A 25,519-nucleotide genomic window follows, 5' to 3' on the forward strand; every position below is an offset into this window, starting at 1 on the left:
CAAAAAACAACTCCATTAGAAAGTGGGCAAATGATATGAACAGACACTTCTCAAAAGAAGACAGACATGTGGCCAATAAACATGAAAAAAAGCTCAACATCACTGATCAGCAAATCAAAACCACAATGAGACATCATCTCACATCAGTCAGAATGGCTGTTACTAAAAAGTCAAAAAATAGATGCTAGTGAGGTTACAGAGAAAAAGGAATGATTATACAAGGTTGGTGGGAGTATACACTAGTTCAACCATTGTAGAAGACAGTGTGGCAATTCCTCAAAGACCTAAAAACAGAAATACCATTCAACCCAGCAAACCCATTACTGGGTATATACTCAAAGGAATATAATCGTCCTACTACAAAGACACATGCACGCATATGTTCGTTGCAGCACTATTCACAATGGCAAAGACATGGAATCAACCTAAATTACCATCAATGGTAGACTGGATAAAGAAAACGTGGCACACATACACCATGGAATACTATGCAGCCATAAGGAAGAATAAGATCTTGTCCTTTGCAGGGAAATGGATGGAGCTGGAGGCCATTATCCTTAGCAAACTAATGGAGGAACAGAAAACCAAATACCACATGTTCTCATTTATAAGTGGGAGCTAAATGATGAGAACACATGGACACATAAAGGGGAACAAGACACACTGGAGCCTATCAGAGTATGGAGGGTGGGAAGAGGGAGAGGATGAGGAAAAATAACTAACGGGTACTAGGCTTGGTACCTGGGTGACAGAATAATCTGTACAACAAATCCCCATGACACAAGTTTACCTATATAACAAACCTGCACATGTACCCCTGAACTTAAAATAAAAGTTAAATTTTAAAAAATCAAGTGATTTATGTGAATTCAGATGTCACAATAACATAGAGGTTTTATTACACAGGTGTAACTTATTTGTCAGGTACTACTTTCTGGCATTCTCACAGTATGGCATGCCTGGTTTACTTTCTGGAAAGAATAATCATTTATTCATTTATCCAAACATTCGCTAAATATCTCTGACCACCTTTTACATGTCAGGCCCTGTGCTAGGCAATGGTGGTATAATGGTGAAGCAGAGAGACATGGTCTACACCCTTACAGAGTTAAGAGATTAGCTTGAAAGACTGACACTGAATGAGTTCATTTCAAGGGTAAGGAGAGCTACAAAGGGGAGGTCAAGTGCATTCTGAAAGCTGTGGTCACTCCAGTGGCTGCCCATATCCCCTCAGCATTCACCAGGCAAACCCTTAGCTTCTTCCTGTAAGCACCTCAATACTCAGTCCTGAGTGAGGACTTCTCTGACCTGCAGTGGGTAGGGGCATGGTTAGCCCCTGTAGGCTATTGGGGCCGGGGAATCGATGCCCTCAGGACCATCCTCAACTGATGATAAATGAGAGTTAACCACCCAGCTTCCTCACCCTTTGGGTAAGACAATTCTGAGCGTATTTTCTCCTGTCTCCCAGGGTTCTCAGTGAAACCAAGCCCCAGTTACCCATCTCCCAATAACTTGTTTGTTAGCGTATCCTGATTGGCTTTTCTTCCTCCCTCATCTCCCCATTTTCCTACCATAGCTTTCTAAGACTCCCTCCCTAATAAACTACTTGCACTAAAACCCCCATATAAGGGTGTTTTTGGGGGAACCCAACTGGAGCATATAACAAGGGGACCTGACCTAGACCTGGGTGGGCCTGGATCTTGGAGGGCCTTATCAGCCATGTCAGAAACTCTTTCCTAAGAGATCTGTGGAAAGTCATTTATGGTCTTAAACAAGGGAATGGGTCTGTGGAAGAATGCGAAGACAGGAATGAATTCAGGATAGCTGGGTAGGAAGCCATCTCATCAGTCAACTCAGGAAAGATTGGGACCTGTACTAGGGAGGAGGCAGTGAAGAGAGAGCCTACCATAGTGCCTAGCTCATAGTAGCTGCTCAACAAATATCATCCAAAATACTTTTGGATGAAAATTAATGACTCGGTTAAATCTACTGTAGAATGTGTTCAGTTCCAGCTGTGGCCAATGGAATCTGTCAATAGACTGCTGAAACTTGAAGCTTGTTTAGATCTGGAGGTGAGGAAAATTAAAGAGTCTAAAATGGGCCAGGCATGGTGGCTCATGCCTATAATCCCAGCACTTTGGGAGGCCGAGGCGGGCAGATCACTCGAGGTCTGGAGTTCAAGACCAGCCTGGCCAACATGGTGAAACCCTGTCTGTAATAAAAACACAAATTGGGTGTGCTGACACACTCTTGAAATCCCAGTTACTTGGGAGGCTGAGGCAGAAGAATTACTCGAACCTGGGAGGCAGAGGTTGCAGTGAGCCAAGATCATGCCACTGCACTCCAGCCTGGGTGACAGAGCAAGATTCTGTCTCAAAAATAAAAATAAAATAAAAAATAACAGTCTAGAATGACTCCTAATCTTCAGGTTTGAAAAGCTAAGTGGAGGCTGGTGTCATTTACTAAATACGGAACATAGCCTTGAGGAGGAGGGGCAAATTGGAGGGGGTGGAAGATAATGAGTTTGGGGCATGGTGCGACTGTGAGCCATCTAACTGATGCTGAGTGTGTGTGTGCAGGCTTGGAGCTGGGTCCAAGATGCATATTTGGGTCCCATCAAATTTAGACACTAACTAGGTGGAGAAAGCCCTCTCTGGTTACATGGGAAATGTGACACAGAAAAGTTTCACATTCTCCTACTTTCCAGCATTCTCACATAACAGTTAAAAGGCTACAAGGAAGAATTAACATTTATTGAGAACCTACTATGTGCCAGGAATTGTACCCAGTAATCTTCAGAACAGCCCTGAGAAGTATGCAATATTATGTCCATTTTATAGATAAGGAAATTGAGACACAGAAAGGTAGAGTAACTCATCCAAGGTCACACAACTAGTAAGCAGCTTCAGAACCCTGAACTGACCCCAAGTTCATGTTCTTAAACAAAATAAGCATCAACAAAGTGTGGTTACAGAAAGTATATCTCTCAGTCTCACCAGATGCCTCAGTGGGTAGTTCCCAAAGTCAGGGGCATTCGATAGAAGAAGGATTTTTCAATTTCAGGGTCAAAGAATATTCTTCTCTGCAATACCCCTTTCAACTGTTGATGGCTTCACTTGGACAGCCTCCTCTCCAAGCAGTCCCCCTGTTGGTGACTCTATCGTGTAAGCCCTAGCTGAAGCCTCTCAATTTCTGTCTCAGTAAATTTGCCTTTTGTAGACATTTCATTTACATAGAATAAGAAAGTGGTCTTCTGGCAGTGGGTGTTCTTAGCTAGTGTGCTGTATAAAGGGTAAAATAGTATGTCCTCAAAACCATATGAAGCGTGTAGGGAGTAATTCACAACCTTATTATTCCCTTATTTAAAAATGGAGCACAGTACCTTGGGTTTGCTAATATTGGTACATATTCCTGAAAATGTCATTTTATTTTCCTTTCCATAAACACAGTTCTTAAAATATGGAAGTTAGAATGTATACTGCCTCATTCTCCAGATGTGAGGTAGTGTTACTCCACATATTCTCTGGTGGTGTGGTAATAGTAGTTTCATAGACTACTTCCTGGTGTGGAGGTGGGCATCTCACCTGAGTCATAGAAGACTTCAGAGATTAGGCAAGCTGATAACTTGAGCCAAAGAGATGAGGTCATTCTTTTTGCCAGTCACTGCAATCTTGCAAAGGGCAGAGCCTGAGACAAGCTCCTTGGACCAGAAACTGGAACCAAGTGAGTGACCCTTAGGCAAAAGAAAGATTGAAACTGTGGTCAGTGGAACTCATTCTGGAACCTGACCCTGTCCTGCCTGTTCCCAGCCTCCTCTACACTTGCCAGAGTGAACTTCTGTCATCATCACAGAGCCTGTAATCTTCTGTATGGCTCAGAGGACCCGCCATGATTTGTCCCTACTTGCTTCTCCAGCCTCCTGTCTCACTTCTCTCCTATCCCTGGGAGCCTATTATCCAACCATGGTAATCTCTTCTGCTCCATTAGAAACTCATCATTTTCGTTTTTACCTCTAGGGCTTTGTGTTTGCAATGCCCTCTGTCCCAGGCCCTCCCACTCAATGTTCCAGTCTTCCTGCACATTGTCAAGTTCCTGCTCATTGTCAAGTTTTAATTTAGATCTCAATTCCTCTGGAAAATTTTCCCTGACTCTCAAGACTGGATTAGGTTTTCCACAGCACCTTGCTTTTACCCCTTTTCTGGAAAGTATCCAACTGTTTTATAATTGCAGAATAACTTGATTGCTCATCACTTCCCCTAAAATGAGAACTCCTTCAGGCAGAGATAGAATCTGTCCAACATCTGACCTCATGAGTTACAACAAGCTACAACTGCCCAATGAAGTTGCTCCCAAATTCCTGATCCACAGAAACTGGGAGATAATAAATGATTATTATTGTCTTGAATTGCTAAATTTTGGAGTAATTTGTTGTGCAATAATAGACAACTAATACACTAACAAAACTAATTAGTTTAAAACAACAACCTGGGCTGGGTGCAGTGGCTCATGCCTGTAATCCCAACACTTTGGGAGACTGAGGCGGGAGGATCACTTGAGCCTAGGAGTTCAAGGTGAGCCTGGGCAACACAGAGAGACCTGGTCTCTACAAAAAAAAATTAAAAATAAATAAAATAGGCCAGGCGTGGTGGCTCACACCTGTAATCCCAGCACTTTGGGAGGCCGAGGTGGGCGGATCACGAGGTCAGGAGATCGAGACCATCCTGGCTAGCACAGTGAAACCTGGTCTCTACTAATACACACACACACACAAAAATTAGCCGGGCATGGTGGCAGGCACCTGTAGTCCCAGCTACTTGGGAGGCTGAGGCAGGAGAATGGCGTGAACCTGGGAGGTGGAGCTTGCAGTGAGCCAAGATCGTGCCACTGCACTCAGCCTGGGCAACAGAGCAAGACTCTGTCTCAAAAAAAAATAATAATAAAATAAATAAATAACATAAAACCACCACCACTTTATTACAGCTCACAGATCCTGTAGGTTAGTAATTGGTGATCTCTCGCTCCTGTGGCTTCAACTGAGATTAACTCAGCTATACTTAGAGGATGGATGGGCCAGCTGGGACAGTCCAAGATGACTTTGTTCACATGTCTGGCACTTTGTGGGTTATAAGGTGGGGTCAGCTAGAATGGTGGACCACAGTACCTATACTCAGCCTCTCCAGCATGGTTGTCTCATAGGAGATAGACTTCTTACATGGCAGCTGGCTTCCTCTAGAGCAAGTATCCCAAAAGAACCATGGGGAAGCTGCATGACTTTTTATAACCTAGCCTCAGAAGTAACACAGAGTCATTTCCATACTCTCTTGCTTACAGTAGTCATAAGACCACCAGATTCAAGGAGAGGGAACAGAGATGCCACCTCTTGAAGAGAGGAGTGTTAAAGAATATGAAACCTTTATTTATTTTGTTGTTGTTTCATTTCGTTTTGTTTTTTTGAGACAGAGTTTTGCTCTTGTTACCCAGGCTGGAGTACAATGGTGCAAATTCAGCTCACTGTACCCTCTGCTTCCAGGTCCAAGCGATTCTCCTGCCTCAACTTCCCAAGTAGCTGGGATTACAGGTGTGCACCACCACACCCAGCTAATTTTGAATTTTTAGTAGAGATGCAGTTTCACCATGTTGGTCAGGCTGGTCTCAAACTCCTGACCTTAGGTGATCCACGCACCTCAGCCTCCCAAAGTGCTGGGATTACAGAGGTGAGTCACCACGCCCAGGTTGAAACTATTTTTTTTTTTTTTTTTGAGATGGAGTCTCGCTGTCGCCCAGGCTGGAGTGTGCAGTGGCACAGTCTCGCCTCACTGCAACCTCCGCCTCTCGGGTTCAAGCGATTCTCCTACCTCAGCCTCCCAAGTAGCTGGGATTTACAGGCATGCACCACCACACCCAGCTAATTTTGTATTTTCAGTAGAGATGGGGTGTCACTATGTTGGTCAGGCTGGTCTCAAACTCCTGACCTCAGGTGATCCACCTGCCTCGGCCTCCCGAAGCGCTGAGATTACAGGCATGAGCCACCGTGCCCAGCCTGAAACCATTTTAAAAAAATTAACTTTGTTAAAGTACAATTTATATACAATAAAATGTACCCATTTTAAATATATAGTTCAATGGGTTTTAACAAATCTATACACCCTTGTAACCACCACCACAATCAAGATACAGAGCATTTCCTTTATTCCGGCAAGTACTCTCCTGCCCCCTTGCAGTCAATCCCACACCCCAGCCCCTGAGCTCAGGGCCATCACTGATCTGCTTCCAGGCTTTTCTAGAATTTCATATGATACAGCATATAGTTTTCACACTTGGCTTCTTCACTTAGCTCAATTCTTTTGAGACCCATCCAGGTTGTTGCATGTATCAATAGTTATTCCCCCCACCCTTTTTTTTTTCATTCCTAAGTGCTGGCAACATTCCTTTTTTTATTAAGTAGTATTACAAGCAGCTATGAACATTCATTTTCATTTGTCTTGAATAAATATCTAAGAGTGGGTTTGCTGGGTCATACAGTATATGTGTTTAACCTTATAAGAGACTGCTAAACTGTTTTCCAAAATGGTTGCACAATTTTGTTTTTCCATCAGGAATATATGAAAGTTCCAGTTACTCCACATCCTTGCCAACACATGGTATTGTCAGTCTTTTAGGGTTAGCCATTCCAGTAGGTGTGTAGTAGTATCTCACTGTGGTTTCAATTTGCATTTGCCTGATAACTAATGATATTGAGCATCTTTTCATGTGCCAATTGGCCATGAATATATCTATTTTTTGGAGCATCTATTCAAATCTTTTGGCATTTGTAATTAGTTGGTTTTTTTCCTATTGAGCTTGAGGAATTATTTATAAATTCTAGATCCCAGTCTTCTGGCAGGTATATGTATTGCAAACGTTTTCTTCCAGACTGTGGCTTGCCTTTTCATCTTCTTAAAACTAAAGAACAGCCTGGGCATGGTGGCTCACACCTATGATCCCAGCACTTTGGGAGGCTAAGGCGGGAGAATCGCCTCAGGTTGGGTGTTTGAGACCAGCCTAGGCAACAAGACAAGACCCCCATCTCTACAAAAAATAAAATAAAAAACTAAAAAATCAGTTGAGCATGGTGGCACGTGCCTGTGGTCCCAGCTACTTGGTAGGCTGAGGCAGGAGGATCACTTAAGCTTGAGAGTTTGAGGCTACAACGAGCCATTTCCATACTGCTGCATTCCAGCCTGGTGACAGAGCAAGACCCTGACTCAAAAAACAAACAAACCAAAAAAAGAAAAAAGAAAAAAAAAAAACCAAACCCTCAAGAGCAGATATTTTAAATTTAAATTTGATGAAGTTCAAGTTCTTTTTTTCTTTTTTGAATCATGTTTTTTGTGTCCTATATAACACTTGGCTGATGCAAAGTCAAAAAGATTTTTTGTCTTATTCTAGAAATTTTATAGTTTTCACCTTTATGATTCATTTTGAGTTAATTTTTTGTATGGTTTTTGGTCTGAGTGAAGCTTCATTTTTTTTTTCCAAATAGATATCCAATAGTTACAGTCACATTTGTTCAAAAGATTATGCTTTGCTTATCGAGTTACTTTTACAATTTTGTCTGAAGCAATTGATCCTATATGTACAAGTATGTTTCTTGATTTTTTGTTATATTCTATTGGTCTATATGTTTGTCCTTTTGTGTTCATATTTTAAAACTATAGCAAGCAGGCAGCAATTCATTGTTGCTAAATACTCTTGTGATGTCACATGCTAAAGCCCTCAGGCACAATTCAAATCATATAGTCCAGGTTCCTGGGATAAGAAACCCTGGCTCCAGCTTACTGTCCTGGGCTCCTCTTATATCTGAGAAAACAAAGAGATCATAAGAGTAATTTCAAACATTAATTAGGCAGACGAAGTAAGAAGGAAAAAAAAGACATGTGGTATCTTTTTGCCAGAATTCTGGTTATTTAAGTTAAACTTGGTTTGGAGAGACAAAGAAAAAAAAGTGAACTGCAGGTATGTGCCTCTGGCTTAAAGTGAAAAAATATGACCCTTATAAACAGTGAGACACCATCCCATTTTATAATACAATATTGCAACGTGACAATGGACGTTGGGTTAAAACAATCTCCTTCTTAAAGGTAGCATATACTTTCTTCCTCTTAAGAGAATATTTTCTTGTAAATTTGTTTGAGTTCATTGTAGATTCTGGATATTAGCCCTTTGTCAGATGAGTAGGTTGTGAAAATTTTCTCCCATTTTGGAGGCTGCCTGTTCACTCTGATGGTAGTTTCTTTTGCTGTGCAGAAGCTCTTTAGTTTAATTAGATCCCATTTGTCAATTTTGTCTTTTGTTGCCGTTGCTTTTGGTGTTTTGGACATGAAGTCCTTGCCCATGCCTGTGTCCTGAATGGTAATGCCTAGGTTTTCTTCTAGGGTTTTTATGGTTTTAGGTCTAACGTTTAAGTCTTTAATCCATCTTGAATTGATTTTTGTATAAGGTGTAAGGAAGGGATCAAGTTTCAGCTTTCTACATACGGCTAGCCAGTTTTCCCAGCACCATTAAATAGGGAATCCTTTCCCCATTGCTTGTTTTTCTCAGGTTTGTCAAAGATCAGATAGTTGTAGATATGCGGCGTTATTTCTGAGGGCTCTGTTCTGTTCCATTGATCTATATCTCTGTTTTGGTACCAGTACCATGCTGTTTTGGTTACTGTAGCCTTGTAGTATAGTTTGAAGTCAGGTAGGGTGATGCCTCCAGCTTTGTTCTTTTGGCTTAGGATTGACTTGGCGATGCGGGCTCTTTTTTGGTTCCATATGAACTTTAAAGTAGTTTTTTCCAATTCTGTGAAGAAAGTCATTGGTAGCTTGATGGGGATGGCATTGAATCTGTAAATTACCTTGGGCAGTATGGCCATTTTCACGATATTGATTCTTCCTACCCATGAGCATGGAATGTTCTCCCATTTGTTTGTATCCTCTTTTATTTCGTTGAGCAGTGGTTTGTAGTTCTCCTTGAAGAGGTCCTTCACATCCCTTGTAAGTTGGATTCCTAGGTATTTTATTCTCTTTGAAGCAATTGTGAATGGGAGTTCACTCACGATTTGGCTCTCTGTTTGTCTGTTGTTGGTGTATAAGAATGCTTGTGATTTTTGTACATTGATTTTGTATCCTGAGACTTTGCTGAAGTTGCTTATCAGCTTAAGGAGATTTTGGGCTGAGACAATGGGGTTTTCTAGATATACAATCATGTCGTCTGCAAACAGGGACAATTTGACTTCCTCTTTTCCTAATTGAATACCCTTTATTTCCTTCTCCTGCCTAATTGCCCTGGCCAGAACTTCCAACAAATTTACAAGAAAAAAACAAACAACCCCATCAAAAAGCGGGCAAAGGACATCAACACACACTTCTCAAAAGAAGACATTTATGCAGCCAAAAAACACATGAAAAAATGCTCATCATCACTGGCCATCAGAGAAATGCAAATCAAAACCACTATGAGATACCATCTCACACCAGTTAGAATGGCCATCATTAAAAAGTCAGGAAACAACAGGTGCTGGAGAGGATGTGGAGAAATAGGAACACTTTTACACTGTTGGTGGGACTGTAAACTAGTTCAACCATTGTGGAAGTCAGTGTGGCGATTCCTCAGGGATCTAGAACTAGAAATACCATTTGACCCAGCCATTCCATTACTGGGTATATACCCAAATGACTATAAATCATGCTGCTATAAAGACACATGCACACGTATGTTTATTGCGGCATTATTCACAATAGCAAAGACTTGGAACCAACCCAAATGTCCGACAATGATAGACTGGATTAAGAAAATGTGGCACATATACACCATGGAATACTATGCAGCCATAAAAAATGATGAGTTCATGTCCTTTGTAGGGACATGGATGAAATTGGAAATCATCATTCTCAGTAAACTATCGCAAGAACAAAAAACCAAACACCGCATATTCTCACTCACAGGTGGGAACTGAACAATGAGATCACATGGACACAGGAAGGGGAATATCACACTCTGGGGACTGTGGTGGGGTGGGGGGAGGGGGGAGGGATAGCATCGGGAGACATACCTAATGCTAGATGACGAGTTAGTGGGTGCAGCGCACCAGCATGGCACATGTATACATATGTATCTAACCTGCACCATGTGCACATGTACCCTAAAACTGAAAGTATAATAAAAAAAAAAGAGAATATTTTAGTTCATGATTATTTATTTTTGCAAAACATCTATTTAATTGTTTCAAGTTTGTGAGGAACAAAGTTATTGGACAGGAAGTTGTAGCAAAAATTTTCTATTTCTCAAAAGTAACTGCTGTAGGTAAAATGTCTGATTTACCAAAAGTTTGAACTGGTTCGCAAAGGCAGTAAGTTCATTCCTAGTTCGGGTCTTTACAAATTATTGTGAGATTTAATAATAATAAGACCCTGCAGTTGTTTCTGTTTAGCAATTGCTCATCTCAAACAGGTTCTTTGTGGTTTTTCCAAAAACAGACAGCATATTTGGCTTCTTCTACTATAGATACTTTCCTACGTCTATTTCTACATCATTCAACATGGCAAGGCTAACAGAAAATCAAGGTCAAATGAGGAAACTCAGCAAATGGTTTTTATCTGGCTTCACACTGACCACCAACTGGTAAACACTATAAGAAAAACTGTGCAGGATATAAATGATAGGTAAAAGTACATTTTTTCACTATGGGCCCAGGCTCTCATAATAGAAGCAGGCCTAAGATTTAAAACAAATGATGTGGGAATCAATTCAAAGTGCTGAAGAATCACAAATTGCTTTTCTATTTAACTAAAAAATCTCCATGCTTTAAAAATTTTCCGCTGGTAGCTTTTTCTCCTGAATTTGCACTCTTAATAATTTTATCCTATAATCCCATCTGATGATGTTATTTTAGGGAAAACCAGGTTAACAGAAGAACATTTATCAGATGTGTAGATCATAGCAAATTCCTGGCACTTAATAAACACAATACTGATAGACTAAAGGGAGGTTAAAATGAGGTGGAACACGTAAGTTATCTCTAACAATGATTAATTTTTGTATATTTTACTGATGAGAAAAACTCCTTTAACCAAAAGCTGCTTAATATTTTTATTAACTGCTTCAGTTCCCTTCAAGTTCTTAATACGTTATTAATATAACACAGCATGAATAAAAAATATGATAATCCATTTTTTAAAAAACAAATTCAAGAATGCCAAACAGGTGACTTACGAAGGGAGCAGGGAAGCCTAAAGGGGCCTCATTTCTGTCTTCCTGGGACAAAAGGATAAGTAATTGACTGAAATGTAACTACCAGGACATAGACGCTCCTAGGATGTAAAAGAAAGTTGTCTGCCTCCCCCTCCCCCTCTCCCTCTCCCCACGGTCTCCCTCTCCCTCTCTATCCACAGTCTCCCTCTGATACCCAGCGGAAGCTGGACTGTACTGCTGCCATCTCGGCTCACTGCAACCTCCCTGCCTGATTCTCCCGCCTCAGCCTGCCGAGTGCCTGCGGTTGCAGGCGCGCACCGCCACACCTGACTGGTTTTCGTATTTTTTTTGGTGGAGACGGGGTTTCACGTGTTGGCTGGGCTGATCTCCAGCTCCTAACCGCGAGTGATCTGCCAGCCTCGGCCTCCCGAGGTGCCGGGATTGCAGACGGAGTCTCGTTCACTCAGTGCTCAATGTTGCCCAGGCTGGAGTGCAGTGGCATGATCACGGCTAGCTATAACCTCCACCTCCCAGCCGCCTCCCTTGGCCTCCCAAAGTGCCAAGATTGCAGCCTCTGCCCGGCCGCCACCCCGTCTGGGAAGTGAGGAGTGTTTCTGCCTGGCCGCCCATCGTCTGGGATGTGAGGAGCCCCTCTGCCCGCCTGCCCAGTCTGGGAAGTCAGGAGCACCTCTGCCCGGCCGCGACCCCGTCTGGGAGGTGAGGAGCGTCTCTACCCGGCCGCCCCGTCTGAGAAGTGAGGAGCCCCTCCGCCCAGCAGCCGCCCCGTCTGAGAAGTGAGGAGCCCCTGCGCCCGGCAGCCACCCTGTCTGGGAAGTGAGGAGCGCCTCCGCCCGGCCGCCTCCCCGTCCGGGAGGTCGGGGGCGCCTCTGCCCGGCCGCCCCTTCTGGGAAGCGAGGAGCCCCTCTGCCCGGCCGCCACCCCGTCTGGGAGGCGTACCCAACAGCTCATTGAGAACAGGCCATGATGACAATGGCGGTTTTGTGGAATAGAAAAGGGGGAAATGTGGGGAAAAGATAGAGAAATCAGATTGTTGCCGTGTCTTGAGTAGAAAAAAGTAGACATAGGAGACTCCATTTTGTTCTGTACTAGGAAAGATTCTTCTGCCTTGGGATGCTGTTGATCTATGACCTTGCCCCCAACCCGGTGCTCTCTGAAACATGTGCTGTGTCCACTCAGGGTTAAATGGATTAAGGGCGGTGCAAGATGGGCTTTGTTAAACAGATGCTTGAAGGCAGCATGCTCCTTAAGAGTCATCACCACTCCCTAATCTCAAGTACCCAGGGACACAAACACTGCGGAAGGCCACAGGGTCCTCTGCCTAGGAAAACCAGAGACCTTTGTTCACTTGTTTATCTGCTGACCTTCCCTCCACTATTGTCCTATGACCCTGCCAAATCCCCCTCTGCGAGAAACACCCAAGAATGATCAATAAAAAAAAAAAAAAAAAAGAAGAAAAGAAAAGGGCCCCAAAGTGACGTCAGCCCCATCTCAAATTCAAACCCCATAGTAAACGAACAAGATAGACCTTAACTACTGACTAATTCTCCAAAGCAAAAAGTCAGGAAAATAAAAAAATCTCGTTAAGCTGTAAAAAATAAAAATAAAAATAAAAATACATATCCAGGTACATACTCTTTCTTTCTTTGAGACAGAGGCTCGCTCTGTCACCCGTGCAGTGGCAGTCTCGGCTCACTGAGATCTCAGCCTTCCAGGCTCAAGCAATTCTTCGGCCTCCACCTCCGAAGTAGCTGGGACTACAGGCACTCACCACTATGCCTGGCTAATTTTTCGTAGAGATGGGGTTTCGCCATGTTGCCTACGCTGGTCTCAAACTCCTTACCGCAAGCAATCTGTCCACCTCGGCCTCCCAAACTGCTGAGATTACAGGCGTGAGGGATTGTAGGCGTGAGGGATTACAAGCATGAGCCACCGCGCCCTGCTATATTACTTATTTCTTAAACACCTGCAATTCATTAAAATACACCATGTATAAATTATAAATCATAATATTATCAAGAACTGTTATTTCTAAGTGCTGAATAAATGAATATTTCCACTCATTAAAAAAAAAAAAAGTTGTCCGTTCAAAGCCAGTGTCAAGTACCAAAAAAAGAAAATTATCTTGCGGCAGATAATGAGAAATAATGCAGGAGAGGAAAGAGGAACTTTAAAGGCTGTACGTGTAGGATTTTCTTTTTCTCTCTCGGAGGAAAGAACAGCAAAAAGCGAAGAGTGGGAAATGCTGGACTTAAATTCCTTTCTTTAGGTTTACGAACAAAAAAGGAAAGCGAGAAGAAAAACAGAATCAAGGACTTATACAGCAGGAAGTTGCCCTGTAAGCATTTAGTCCAGGGACCTGCCATTCTTATTAAGAGCTAAAACCAAAGAATTAGTGCACGAAAGTAGAAAGAAGACAAGCCGCCATTGTGGAAGGAGCGCAGCGGGACAGAGGCGCGCAGAAGCCTCACCAGACAACCAGGCCCCGTCCCCGTCCCCCGAACTGTGCGGAAAGCGCCACCGAGTCCAGGCGTCTCATTTTACAGCGGAAGACACAAACTCTGAGATCCAAATGACCTGCTCACGGTCACAGCACGAAGCCCGTGGGCCCTGTGTCTACAGTCACCAACTTCCAGGCTTGCGACTAAAGGGAGCCAACGAGCGCGTGAGCGTTTGAGACCAGCTGGCTGAGGGACGCCGAAAATCCCGCGCGGAGGAAGGCGGGAGAGCGCTACCGCTGCTACCAAGGCGGCGGCGCGGGCGCTCGGCCGGGACCCTTCCCTGCGTCGCCACCAGATGGCGCGCTCGGCCCGCCGTTCGCGGCTAAGCTAGGGCGGGTGGGGAGGGAGTAGGGAGGAGGACGTCGGTTGCCTTGGAAATGCAGGGCGCAGCAGCCGCTGCAGTGGAGCCGGTAGGCCTGGCCGGCGGGCTGAAAGGAAGTGCGAGCTGTCCGCCCAGGGCCGGGTATCCGCCCCTGCAGGCTGTGGAGGGGATGTCAGGAGACTGGCTGGCCTCTTTTCTTGGCCCCCGACTCCTTCCAGTCTGACACTGAAGACTTTATAAGCTTCCCCCCGACCACCCTCCACGGGCTCCACTCTCCACGGGCCTGGGCTTGCGCCGCTTCGAGATCAGCCTGGGGGTCGCGCCCTCCTGGTCTTGTCCACGAAGCGCCGTTCTTGGGCCGTTAGGAGCTGCTGGGAAGGGCTCTGATAGGCCCACTCCTCTTCTCCACCCAGGAGATGAGAAGGAGGGCAGGCCTTTTTAATCTGATCAGAATGTTAACCCATCTCTCCGCCTTGCGGTAGAACCCCTGGATACATTATTTGCCCTCTCGAAAGGCAGGCTCTGAATTTGATTCAGGTTTGTAACCTTCACGGTGCCCTCACACAGCCCCTAGCACACAGCAGACGCAGAGCAGACTAAGAATGCCTTCCATTCTTATGAGGCTTTATCACTTGACAGTTTTCCCAAAGCGTTTGGAGCCTCATAGCCCGGACAGCAACTAGGACAGATGGAGGAGGAAACAGGTCAGAGGTTCAGAGACTTGGCCTAGGTTATACAACTCTGTGCAGGAGCTGGGACTAAGCTCGGTCTTGCTTCTCTTAGTGCCTCTCTCACCAAATTCTGAGTCTAGTGAATGCTTTCTGAGGACCTCACATACTCTTGCATCCTTCTCAATACCAGCGCAATGCTCTTCCGCTGTAGGTACTTCATATGTGCTAAGTGTGTTATTGATGTCTTTTACCCTCATATCCCAATTCATAGATTGGTTTCAACTTCTTGCTCTGGATACTACAACATTCTTCTAAAGAAAACACTTGGTTTCTTTTATGAATTTGTCACATTTGTACAGTGCCATGTTGTTGCCTCACTCCCTTCCTTATCCCATAATTTTCTGCTGGGCAAGAGAGAGAGTTGAGGAAGTGATTAAGAGATGGGAAAAAGTGCCCTATCTAAGCCAAAAAAAAAAAAAAAAAAAGGAAAAGAAAGATTCCTGTGATGACAGAGGGGAAAAATAATGACTGGGTATTTATCAGTCTATGTGATAATTGCTCATGGATTGCCTTACAGCCACCTCCAGAAGATCCTCTTTAGACTCACTACTGCTATTTGAAGGTAGAAAGAAGCCTTTTTGTTCTCTACCATTATTATTGCATATTTTTCCCTTATCCTCATAATAATATTTTCATAGTTATTTTTCTTTTCTTTGTTGATAATTCTAAAACTGAAGGACAGTAAGAGTGGGAAAAAAATGTAGTTCTGGTTACTAGAGAAGTTAGTGTAATATACTGCAGTTCAAACTATTTGATATTAGCAACTCTGGATCAGAAGACGGACTAATTTTAAAGCTAAGACTCCAATATCTTTGGGTACTGCAGTAGAAAAATGTGCCATGACTAAAGGATTGGTGAAGAAAATACATGCTAATGTAATGTACATCATCAGTCGTCCAAGTGAAACTTGAAAATGTCACTCATCTAGATATTTTTAAATACCTTGATTTTAATATATGATTTTAACATATTTCCAAACCGGGCAAATTTTACATTTTAACACTAACAATTTTGGTCCCTATCATATATACATAATCAATATGAAAAGCGGTCTCAATTTTTAAAATTAATGTTTTAGGTGGTACTATTACCACTGAATGGCTTTAAATTAATTCAGGATTTTTAAAAACATTTACTGGAGACCATTTCTAATTAAGTTAAACATGTGTTCTGTGCAATCTCATTTGCAGTAGCCACAAAACGAATAAACTACCTGGGAACCCCCTGCCCAGTGCCATACCCCCAGTGCCTGTCCCCAGATCGAGGCTTGGGCCCCTTCAGCCATGTCTATCACAAGCACCACCAGCATGTCTGACAAACTGCCCTACAAAGTCACTGACATTGGCCTGGACTTCTGGGGATGCAAAGCCCTGGATATTGTGGAGAACCAGATGCCGGGCCTGACGTGCATGTGGGAGCTGTACTCAACCCTCCAAGCCCTCGAAGGGCACGCGCATCACCAGTTGCCTCCATAGGACCCATGGAGATGGCCATCCTCATTGAGACCCTCATTACCCTGGGTGCCAAGCTGCAGTGGTCCAGCTGCAACATCACCCAGGACCATGAGGCAGCTGCCATTGCCAAGGCTGGCATTCCAGTTGTACGCCTGGAAGGGCGAAACAGAGGAGGAGTACCTGTGGTGCACCAAGCAGACATTATACTTCAAAGACGGCCTCCTCAACGTGATTCTGGATGTCGCTTGGGCCCCCACCAACCTCATCCACACCAAGTACCCACAGCTCTTGTCGGGGATGTGAGGCATCTTCAAGGAGACCATGATTGGGGTCCACAAGCTACACAAGATGATGGCCAATGGGATCCTGAAAGTGCCTGCCATCAATGTCAACAACTCCGTCACCAAGAGCAAGTTTGACAACCTCTCCGGCTGCCAGGAGTCCCTCATAGATAGCATCAAGTGGGCCACAGACGTGATGATTGCCAGCAAGGTAGCAGTGGTAGCAGGCTGTGGCGACATGGGCAAAGGCTGTGCCCAGGCCCTGTGGGGTTTCAGGCCCATGTCATCATCATCAAGATCGACCCCATCAACATACTGCAGGCTGCCATGAAGGGCTATGAGGTGGCCACCATAGACGAGGCCTGTCAGGAGGACAACATCTTTGTCACCACCACAGGCTGTGTTAACATCATCCTTGGCTGGCACTTTAAGCAGATGAAGGATGATGCCATCATTTGTAACACTGGACACTTTGACATGGAGATTGATGTCAAGTGGCTCAACAAGAATACTGTGGAGAGAGTCAACATCAAGCCCCAGGTGGACTGGTATCAGCTGAAGAATGCACACCACATCATCCTGCTAGCTGAGGGTCAGCTGGTCAACCTGGGTTGTGCCATGGGCCACCTCAGCTTCTTGATAAGTAACTCCTTCACCAACCAAGTGATGGCGCAGACTGAGCTGCAGACCCACCCAGACAAGTACCAGGTTATGGTTCTCTTCCTGCCCAAGAAGCTGAATGAGGCAATGGCTGAAGCCCACCTGGGCAAGCTGAATGTGAAATTGACCAAGCTGACTGAGCTGCAAGCCCATTACCTGTACTTGTCCCGTGATGGCCCCTTCAAGCCAGATCACTACCACTACTGAAAGCCAGACCTGCCCTTCGCCTTCCAACTGCTGTCCTTGTCCAGGCCCTGCCTCTCCTCCCTAAGAGCAAATGGCACCCACTTTGTGATTGGTTTGTCAGTGTCCCCTATTGACTCCCTGGGGCTGGTCACTCAGTTTTTGGCCTCTGCTGCATCCCTCATACTGTTCCAAGTGTGGCAGGGGGAATTGAGAGGCCCCTCCTCAAGCCTTGGTCATGATAGGGGTACAAGGGAGACAGCCACAGGGAACTATGAATTCAATGATCTTGGAACTTCTCACTAAGTCAGTCCTTCCTTAGCCTGGAAGTTGGTAATGGAGTCACAAAGCCCATATACTTTACCATCTAGGCATTCACCCGGTCTGTGGACTTATACCTGTGTGCTTGGTTCACAGGTTCAGTGGTACCTCAGCCCATGACAGAAAAGCAGCAGCTATATTGAAGGGCAAAGAGGAACTGTTGTTTGAATTTTCCTGAGAGCCTGACTTAGTGCTGGGCCTTCTCTTCCACCTCATAACAATGAGGTTGGTACTTTTAGTCTCTGTTTTATAGGAGTTAGAATAGACTGTTAAGGGACAACTGAGAAAGGACAGAGAATTGATAGCCAGAGGTTGAGAGGGGCCATAAAAACATAAAAGCAAGCATAGATCTGCTACCACTTTGTAACAAGATAATTCCTATCACAACCCTGGGTCAAAAAGAGAATAATCTGGTCCATAATGTTTATGTTAAAAAAAAATAAAAAGCAGGAAGGTGGGTAAATAAAAATCTTGGTGCCTTAAAAAAAAAAAAAAAAAAAAAACCCCTAGGAATACAGCTTACCAAGAAGGTAAATGAGTTCTACAATGAGAATTTCAAAACACTGCTGAAATAAGTCAGAGATGAACACAAACAAATGGAAAAACATTCAATGTCATTTTTCATGGAATTAAACAAAACTATTCTAAAATTCATATGGAACCAAAACAGAGCCCTAATCACCAAATCAACCCCAAACAATAAGAGCAAAGCCAGGGGAATCACACTACCCAACTTCAAACTATATTACAAGGCTACAGTAACCCAAACAACATGGTACTGTTACAAAAACAGACATATAAACTAATGGAACAGGTTAAAGGACCCAGAAATAAAGCCACACACCTACAACTACTGGTTTTGTGACAGAGTCAATGATAACAAACAATGGGGAAAGAACTCCCTATTCAATAAATGGTGCTGGGATAACTGGCTAGCCATATGTGGAAGATTGAAACTGGACCCCTTCCTTTTACCACATACAAAAATTAACTCAAGATGAATTAAATACTTAAATGTAAGACCTAAAACAACAAACACTCTAGAAGAAAACCTAGGAAATACCATTCTGGACATTGGCCTTGGCAAAGAATTTATGACTAAATTCCCAAAAGCAACTGCAACAACAACAAAAAATAGACAAGTGGGACTAATTAAAGAGCTTCTGCACAGCAAAAGAAACTATCAACAGAGTAAACAGACAACCTGCAGAATGGGAGAAAATATTCACAAGCCATGCATCCAACAAAGGTCTAATATCCAGAATCTATAAGGAACTTAATTCAGCAAACAAAAAGCAAATAACCCCATTTAAAAATAAGAGAAGGACAGGCTGGGTGTGGTGGCTCCCGCCTGTAATCCCAGCACTTTGGGAGGCTGAGGCAGTCAGATCACAAGGTCAGGAGATCGAGATAGTCCTGGCTAACACGGTGAAACCCCGACTCTACTAAAAATACAAAACAAATAAATAAATAAATTAGCCAGGCATGGTGGCACGTGCCTGTAGTCCCAGCTACTCGGGAGGCTGAGGCAGGAGAATCACTTGAACCCTGGAGGCAAAGGTTGCAGTGAGCCGAGATTGTGCCACTGCACTCCAGCCTGGGCAACAGAGTGAGACTCCGTCTCAAAAAAAAAAAAAAAAAAAAAGAAGGCAAAGAACATGAACAGATACTTTTCAAAAGAAAACATACATGTGGCCAACAAATATATGAAAAAATGCTCATCATCACTAATCATTAGATAAATGCAGATCAAAACCATGATAAGATACTATCACACAGGAATCACAATGGTAATTATTAAAAAGACAAAAAACAACAGATGCTGGTGAGGTTTAGCAGAAAAGGGAACACTTATACACTGCTGGTGGGAGTATTAAAGAACACGTGGAAAGCAGTGTGAAGATTTCTCAAAGAACTTAAAACAGAAATACCATTCAACCCAGCAATCTCGCTACTGGATATATACCCTAAGGAAAATAAATCATTCTGTGAAACAGACACATGGACTCATGTTCATCGCAGCACTGTTCACAGTAGCAAACACATAAAATCAACCAAGATGCTAATCAGTGGTGGACTAGATAAAGAAAATGTGGTACACATACACCATGGAATGCTACACAGCCATAAAAAGAACAAAATCGTGTCCTTTGTAGCAACATGGATGCAGCTGGAGGCCATTATCCTAAGCAAACTAATGCAAGAACCCAAAAGCAATACTGCATGTTCTCACTATAAGTGCAAGCTAAACATTGAATAAACATGAACACAAAGATGGGAAAAATAGACACTGTCTATTACAAGCCATAAATTGTGGGGAAAAAAAAAAGTACAAATTGTGGGGCCACAAGGCGAGGTTATTTATCACTAGTTAGGACAATAAGAAGAGGCTTCTCAAGATGAATTTAAATATTAAAGGATACAACATCTCTTTTTGAATTCCCAAGATGAGGGTTTATAGAAGTAGTTAGGTGTCACTGGCATTAAAGGAATTGTATTTTGTTGAAGATGAGTACCATGAATGGTTTTGAATATGTATTTCAGCTTTGCAATTAACATTATAGTGAGGTATGTGCCTTCTAAGTTAGATTGCTCTTTAATAAGGCTTTTGGAAGTACTGCATTACTACTACTACTATTACTTTTATTAGCCTTACAGTTTATAGCTGAGAATCCAGTATAATTTGGGAACTGCAGTTCAAAACCATGCAGTTAATGGCTCAGTTTCTAGCTAGTTAATGGCTGAGCCACAACTAGACTTCAAGACTCCTAGCACCCAAATAGAGATCTTTTATATCATGCACTCATGCCTTGATGGAATCTTATTCTGAACTTCTGTCATTGCTAATGCTGTTAAGTAAATATCTTTCATTTTAATCTACATTGTATGTAAAACATTAGCTATCAAACCTCAAACTCCATTTTATATGTCCAGAAAGGTATTAGGGCAGAACTGCCATCCCTCCCAGCCTCCACAGAATTAGGAAAGGAGTCATTGGGAGGCTTCTGGATATTCACGCCTTCACAAAGTCATTAAAATAGTCATTTTGGGCCAAGTGCGGTGGCTCATGCCTGTAATCCTAGCACTTTGGGAGGCCAAAGTGGGTGGATCCCTTGAGCTCAGGAGTTCAAGACCATCCTGAGAAACATGGCAAAACCCCCTCTTTACAAAAAATTAAAAAATTAGCCAGGCATGGTAGCATGCGCCTGTAATCCCAGCTACTCTGGAGGTGATGTGGGAGGATGACTTGCACCTGGGAGGCAGAAGTTGGAATGACCCTGCATTTTTAGCTTGGGCGACGGAGCCAGACCCTGTCTCATTAAAAAAAAAAAAAAAAAAAAAAAGAGAGTCATTTATTTTAAGCTTTCTAGATACTGAGCCAGGATGCTGAGATAGTGCAGGAAGGGATACACTGTGTGTTCTATAGGTAACTTTGCAGAGCCAAAGCAGTATGGGATAACTACATATGAAAAAAATGATTGTGATATGTCCATTTTTAGTAAATAAACTTCTGGCTTTTCACTGAGAGGCGTTTGGGAAATATTTATTGCAAGATTTTATGACAGAAAATGATGGAGTAGATTCTGGAAAGGTTGGCTGGAGTCCTGAGTCTTTCAAACCCAGGATGCTCACCTGTCCTTACATCACGGTGTATGTTTTAGAGACCTCAGACACAGTCGGGAGAGGAAAACACACATGGCCACAAAAGGGAGGTCACATGCTGGATGAAGATCTCCCTAGCATTATCTGCATGATTTTGCAATGAATTTTAAAGCTGCTCATTTTTTTAAAGTTCTGCTGCAGTGTGCTTCTGTCTTCCTATCTGTCTGAGAAGGGTCTTGCCTCATCTATACTTTATAATTGGGGGCCAGGTAAAGCACCATGCACAGAGCAGGCATTGAATAGATGTTTGTAGTTACTGACAGATTCGACGTCTATTTGTCAGATATTCTAAGTGTAACCTTCCTGGAAGATAATTGCTTTTACTTTGTGAATATTTTTCTAGGATTCTCACCCTTTACTGAGAGAAATCTTCTGGGTGGTCAGGAACTGTGAATCCTTGTAAATGTTTATGAAAGTCCCCATGATTTATAGCACATTATCAAATGCAAAAATAGATGTTGAGGTACTATCATTAGCCCATTGGAAAAATGCAGCTATTAAGCAGACAGTCCAATTGGCTTACTAATTTTCTTAAAGTGTGTGAAACAATGAATCTTAATAGAGTTTATGTATAAAGCATTTGTGCTTTAATGGGTCCACATTTTCACTCATATTTTATTAAAATCCTTTGCCATAAGCTGCAGTTAGGTAAGTAATTATACATTAGTCAGAGAGTTAAAAACATAAAAGCCAGGTAACTAAGGTAATTGAGCAGGATGAGGTCATTTTTCCTCCAGCACCAGATGGGTACCACAGGTAAAAACCGTAACACTTGATCTCTTCCATATGACTTAGAAAGAGATTAATGTTGGCATTGGTTTTAACTTTTAAATATTTTATAGTAAAAATTATTACTAAATGGTAAGTTATTGTTTTAAAATGAAACATTTGTTAGTATGCTTTTTGTGCAACAGCCAAGTTTAAAATTCTAATTCTAAAATGGAAAATAATATAAAAATTCAACTCTGCATCTGAAACAAAGAGTAATCTTCTCTTAGCTGATAATTTTCTGTGAACTGTGGTGGTATCATGATGACACCTTTTGGTGGGAGCCTATTAAATTATTCTCAATACTTTCATATTTGAGAAGACACTACTTAATGTACTAATGTATTAGATCTTTTTGTTGTGTCATCTGTGTGCTTTTCAGTTGGAAAGTATTGTGGTATATTTGCATTCATGTATATGCTCAAATTAGTTAGCATACAGAGTAGTGCAAACTTGGTTAGAAAAGTCACAGACATAAAGACAGCCTGACTGGAAGTCTGAGTGTGCAGGCAGCATGTCTACAGAGAAAAAGCGTGTTTTCATATTAACAAGTTTCTCCACTTTGGAGCTGAATGGTCTACAAAGATCTATGTGGATTGCCAATTCAGTGATCCAAATCAATGAAGGTTGACAACAGCAAACCTTATGGATTAGTCTTTCCACGCATCATCGTACTTGCAGAAGGCAGCCATTCTATGCTTTAGTTACCCAGAATTTGAAGAAGCTTGACCTGGAGCAACAACTGAAGGGAAAGAGGAAGGGGCACTATACAGAGATAGAGCTAGAGATATATGCCCTTTTTCTATATCTCAGACACTATGCTAGGTGCTTTAAATATTAGCTTATTTAATCCTTACAATAGCTCTTAGAGTAGAATTGTTATCCTTCTCCCTTGACAGATGATGCAACTGAAGTTCCTCAAAAAGATTAAGTAACCTATTCAGGGTCACAGAGATAACAGTGATGGATCTAGGATTAAAGCCCATGTCTGCCTGATTCGTTCATGCATCCACTCATGTGTTTATCTGACAAGCATTTATTGTGTGTCTATTGTGCTTAGTGAGGAAATACAGTGGTGCACAAGAATTACATTATCCTCACCCTCATGAGAGTTTCCAGCCACTTAAATAATTACAAAGGTTATATTTTATGCTTTCTACCACACTTAACTACTGATACATTTATTTAAGGCTAGGTACTTATTCTTTTAAGATTAGTGGAAATTAAAAGATAAAAATGTGTTAAGGAAGACTATAATCTGAAAAGTCTACTTTAGTACCCAAACCAAACCTATGAAAGTACTCCTGCTTACTATAAACATCTGTGAACAGTGGGTCTTGATTTTCCCTTTTAAAAGGTGTTTTTGATTTTTTTATTATTAGGTATGAAACCAGTTAATAGCTGATGAGCAGTTATTAGTACATTATTATTATTCGCATGTGTAAATCTCAACCATTTTAAAAGTACTTCAATGTGTGCTTTTATTTGCTGTTTGTAACAACCCTGCCCAAACCTAATTTTTTTGGATCCTGATTCTAATTCTTAAGTCTTTTGGATCCTAGCTTCTTCGTGCTCATAGAAAATTGTAGTTTTGTTTTCATTTTCTTTGAAAAATTAATAGACATTTAATTAATGTCTCTCTGCCAAACACTGTGGAGAAATAAAATTATTGAAAAGCTCAGTTCTTTGCTCTTAAAAGACCTAGATACGGGCAACAGATATAGATGAATAACATAAGAGAGGGAGTCTCTTAGAAAGTTTTGGGTGGAGGGAATGCTATACATGGGCTAAACATGGAATTCACCAGAATCAAGAATCCAATCATTTCATGATGTTCCACCATTGTGGTGAATGTTAGATCTGGGGACATGGAAGCAATCAGGATAGAAAGCCAGTATTAAGTCCCAGAGGTACCTTATCTAGAGTAAACAAAAGTAGGGAGGCAAAGATGGAATTTTTCACTTTCGTATGTCTCCTTTCTAAACAGGTATATTTCTTCATAGCTAACCAGCACAATGGAAAACTCAGGGAAAGCAAATAAAAAGGATACACATGACGGGCCACCAAAAGAAATTAAACTGCCTACCAGTGAAGCACTTCTAGACTATCAGTAAGTTTTTATTCTGAAATCTGAAAGTTGCCATAGATAAAAGGCAGTCATTGTTAAGACTCATATAACTGCAAATGCAAACAATACATGCAGCAGCTGCCAAAAGAATAGAGGTGGGTTTGGAGGCCTAATTGCACTCTTGTGCTATGCACATATTTTTAAAGGTTTTTGAAACTTTGAATATAACATAGTCCAAGTAGTAGCTATGACTACTTAGACTATTTTATGAAATGAAATGAGAGCTGCTATGAAACAGCTTTCATTGATGTACTATTGGCTCCTTCAGTTGTTTATTGGTTACTCTCACCTATGTATACAACAGCTTGCTAGCTTACCTCTTAAAATACAACACAGAATGGTTAGTTTACATTTATAGAGAGTAGAAGAGGCCGGGCATGGTGGCTCACACCTGTATTCCCAGCCCTTTGGGAGACCAAAGCAGGCGGATCACCTGAGGTTGGGAGTTCGAGACCAGCCTGACCAACATGGTGAAACCAGGTCTCCACTAAAAATCCAAAAATTAGTCGGGCATGGTGGCGCGTGCCTGTAATCCCAGCTTCTCGGGAGACTGAGGCAGGAGAATTGCTCAAACCCAGGAGGCAGACGTTGCAGTGAGCCAAGATCATGCCACTGCACTCCAGCCTGGGCAACAGAGCAAGATTCCATTGAGGTTCCATCTCGAAAAAAAAAAAAAAAGAGAGAATGGAAGAGAAATTTTCCCTTTATGTGACCTTTTATTTCTTAGACATTCCAACTTACATTATTCCTAAATGGCTACATATCAAATCCAAATGATTTACAGAAAATTCTTTTTAATAATAATAAAATTTTATAATGTCTCACTCCTAGGAGCTGGAGACAAAACCATGGGTAACATTTATTCCATATTTATGTTTTATTCCAACAAATAGCTCCTTGAGGGTCTGTGAACCTTAGCTTTTGGCACAAGGTAAGTGTTTTAACTTGTAATTCTTACAGAATTAATAGATAAGTGTTAGTCTTTTCTTGCATAAGGCTGAAATATACTTCATTCATGTACTTATTCAATAAATACTTGGGTGTTTACCAAGTGCAAGTCAAGTGCTGGGTACTGGAATGTAGCAGCAAACAGGACCACATGGTCCCTGCCTTGATGAAGCATGGGAGACAGACAATAAACCACTAATTTGAGCTTTAAAAAAAATGACAGGGTGGTATGGTGGCTCATGCCTATAATCCCAGCCCTTTGAGAGGCCAAGGCAGGTGGATGAGCCCAGGAGTTTGAGATCAGCCTGAGTAACATGATGAAAACTC

General features: G+C 42.3%; 2 protein-coding genes and 1 pseudogene across 16 annotated transcripts in view; 2 read left to right on the forward strand and 1 right to left on the reverse strand.

Annotated features, from left to right (window-relative positions):
• The window catches only part of SYTL2 (synaptotagmin like 2), a 160,642-nt gene extending 146,764 nt beyond the window's left edge, over positions 1-13,878 (reverse strand). For 4 of the 6 annotated variants that reach the window (NM_001394468.1, NM_001394471.1, NM_001394462.1 and 1 more), the window contains exon 1: positions 13,704-13,878. The gene's annotated coding sequence lies outside the window, so the exon portion shown is untranslated. Of the gene's footprint in view, positions 1-12,867; positions 13,199-13,703 lie in introns of all 6 variants that reach the window. The other 2 variants (NM_001394472.1, NM_001394453.1) reach the window with 1 other exon arrangement.
• CCDC83 (coiled-coil domain containing 83) overlaps positions 14,074-25,519 on the forward strand; it is a 64,948-nt gene continuing 53,502 nt past the window's right edge. For 7 of the 10 annotated variants that reach the window (NM_173556.5, XM_011544842.2, NM_001286159.2 and 4 more), the window contains exons 1-2: positions 14,391-14,592; positions 24,104-24,226. In NM_173556.5, the coding sequence (NP_775827.2) occupies positions 24,132-24,226 (95 nt within the window). In that variant the 5' untranslated portion in view covers positions 14,391-14,592; positions 24,104-24,131. Of the gene's footprint in view, positions 14,144-14,390; positions 14,593-14,672; positions 14,760-15,289; positions 15,349-24,103; positions 24,227-25,519 lie in introns of those variants that run through there. The other 3 variants (XM_011544839.3, XM_011544840.3, XM_011544841.2) reach the window with 3 other exon arrangements.
• On the forward strand, positions 16,009-18,165 carry AHCYP6 (adenosylhomocysteinase pseudogene 6; annotated as a pseudogene).

This window comes from Homo sapiens, chromosome 11 (genome assembly GCF_000001405.40).
Source record: "Homo sapiens chromosome 11, GRCh38.p14 Primary Assembly".
Lineage (NCBI taxonomy): Eukaryota > Metazoa > Chordata > Mammalia > Primates > Hominidae > Homo > Homo sapiens.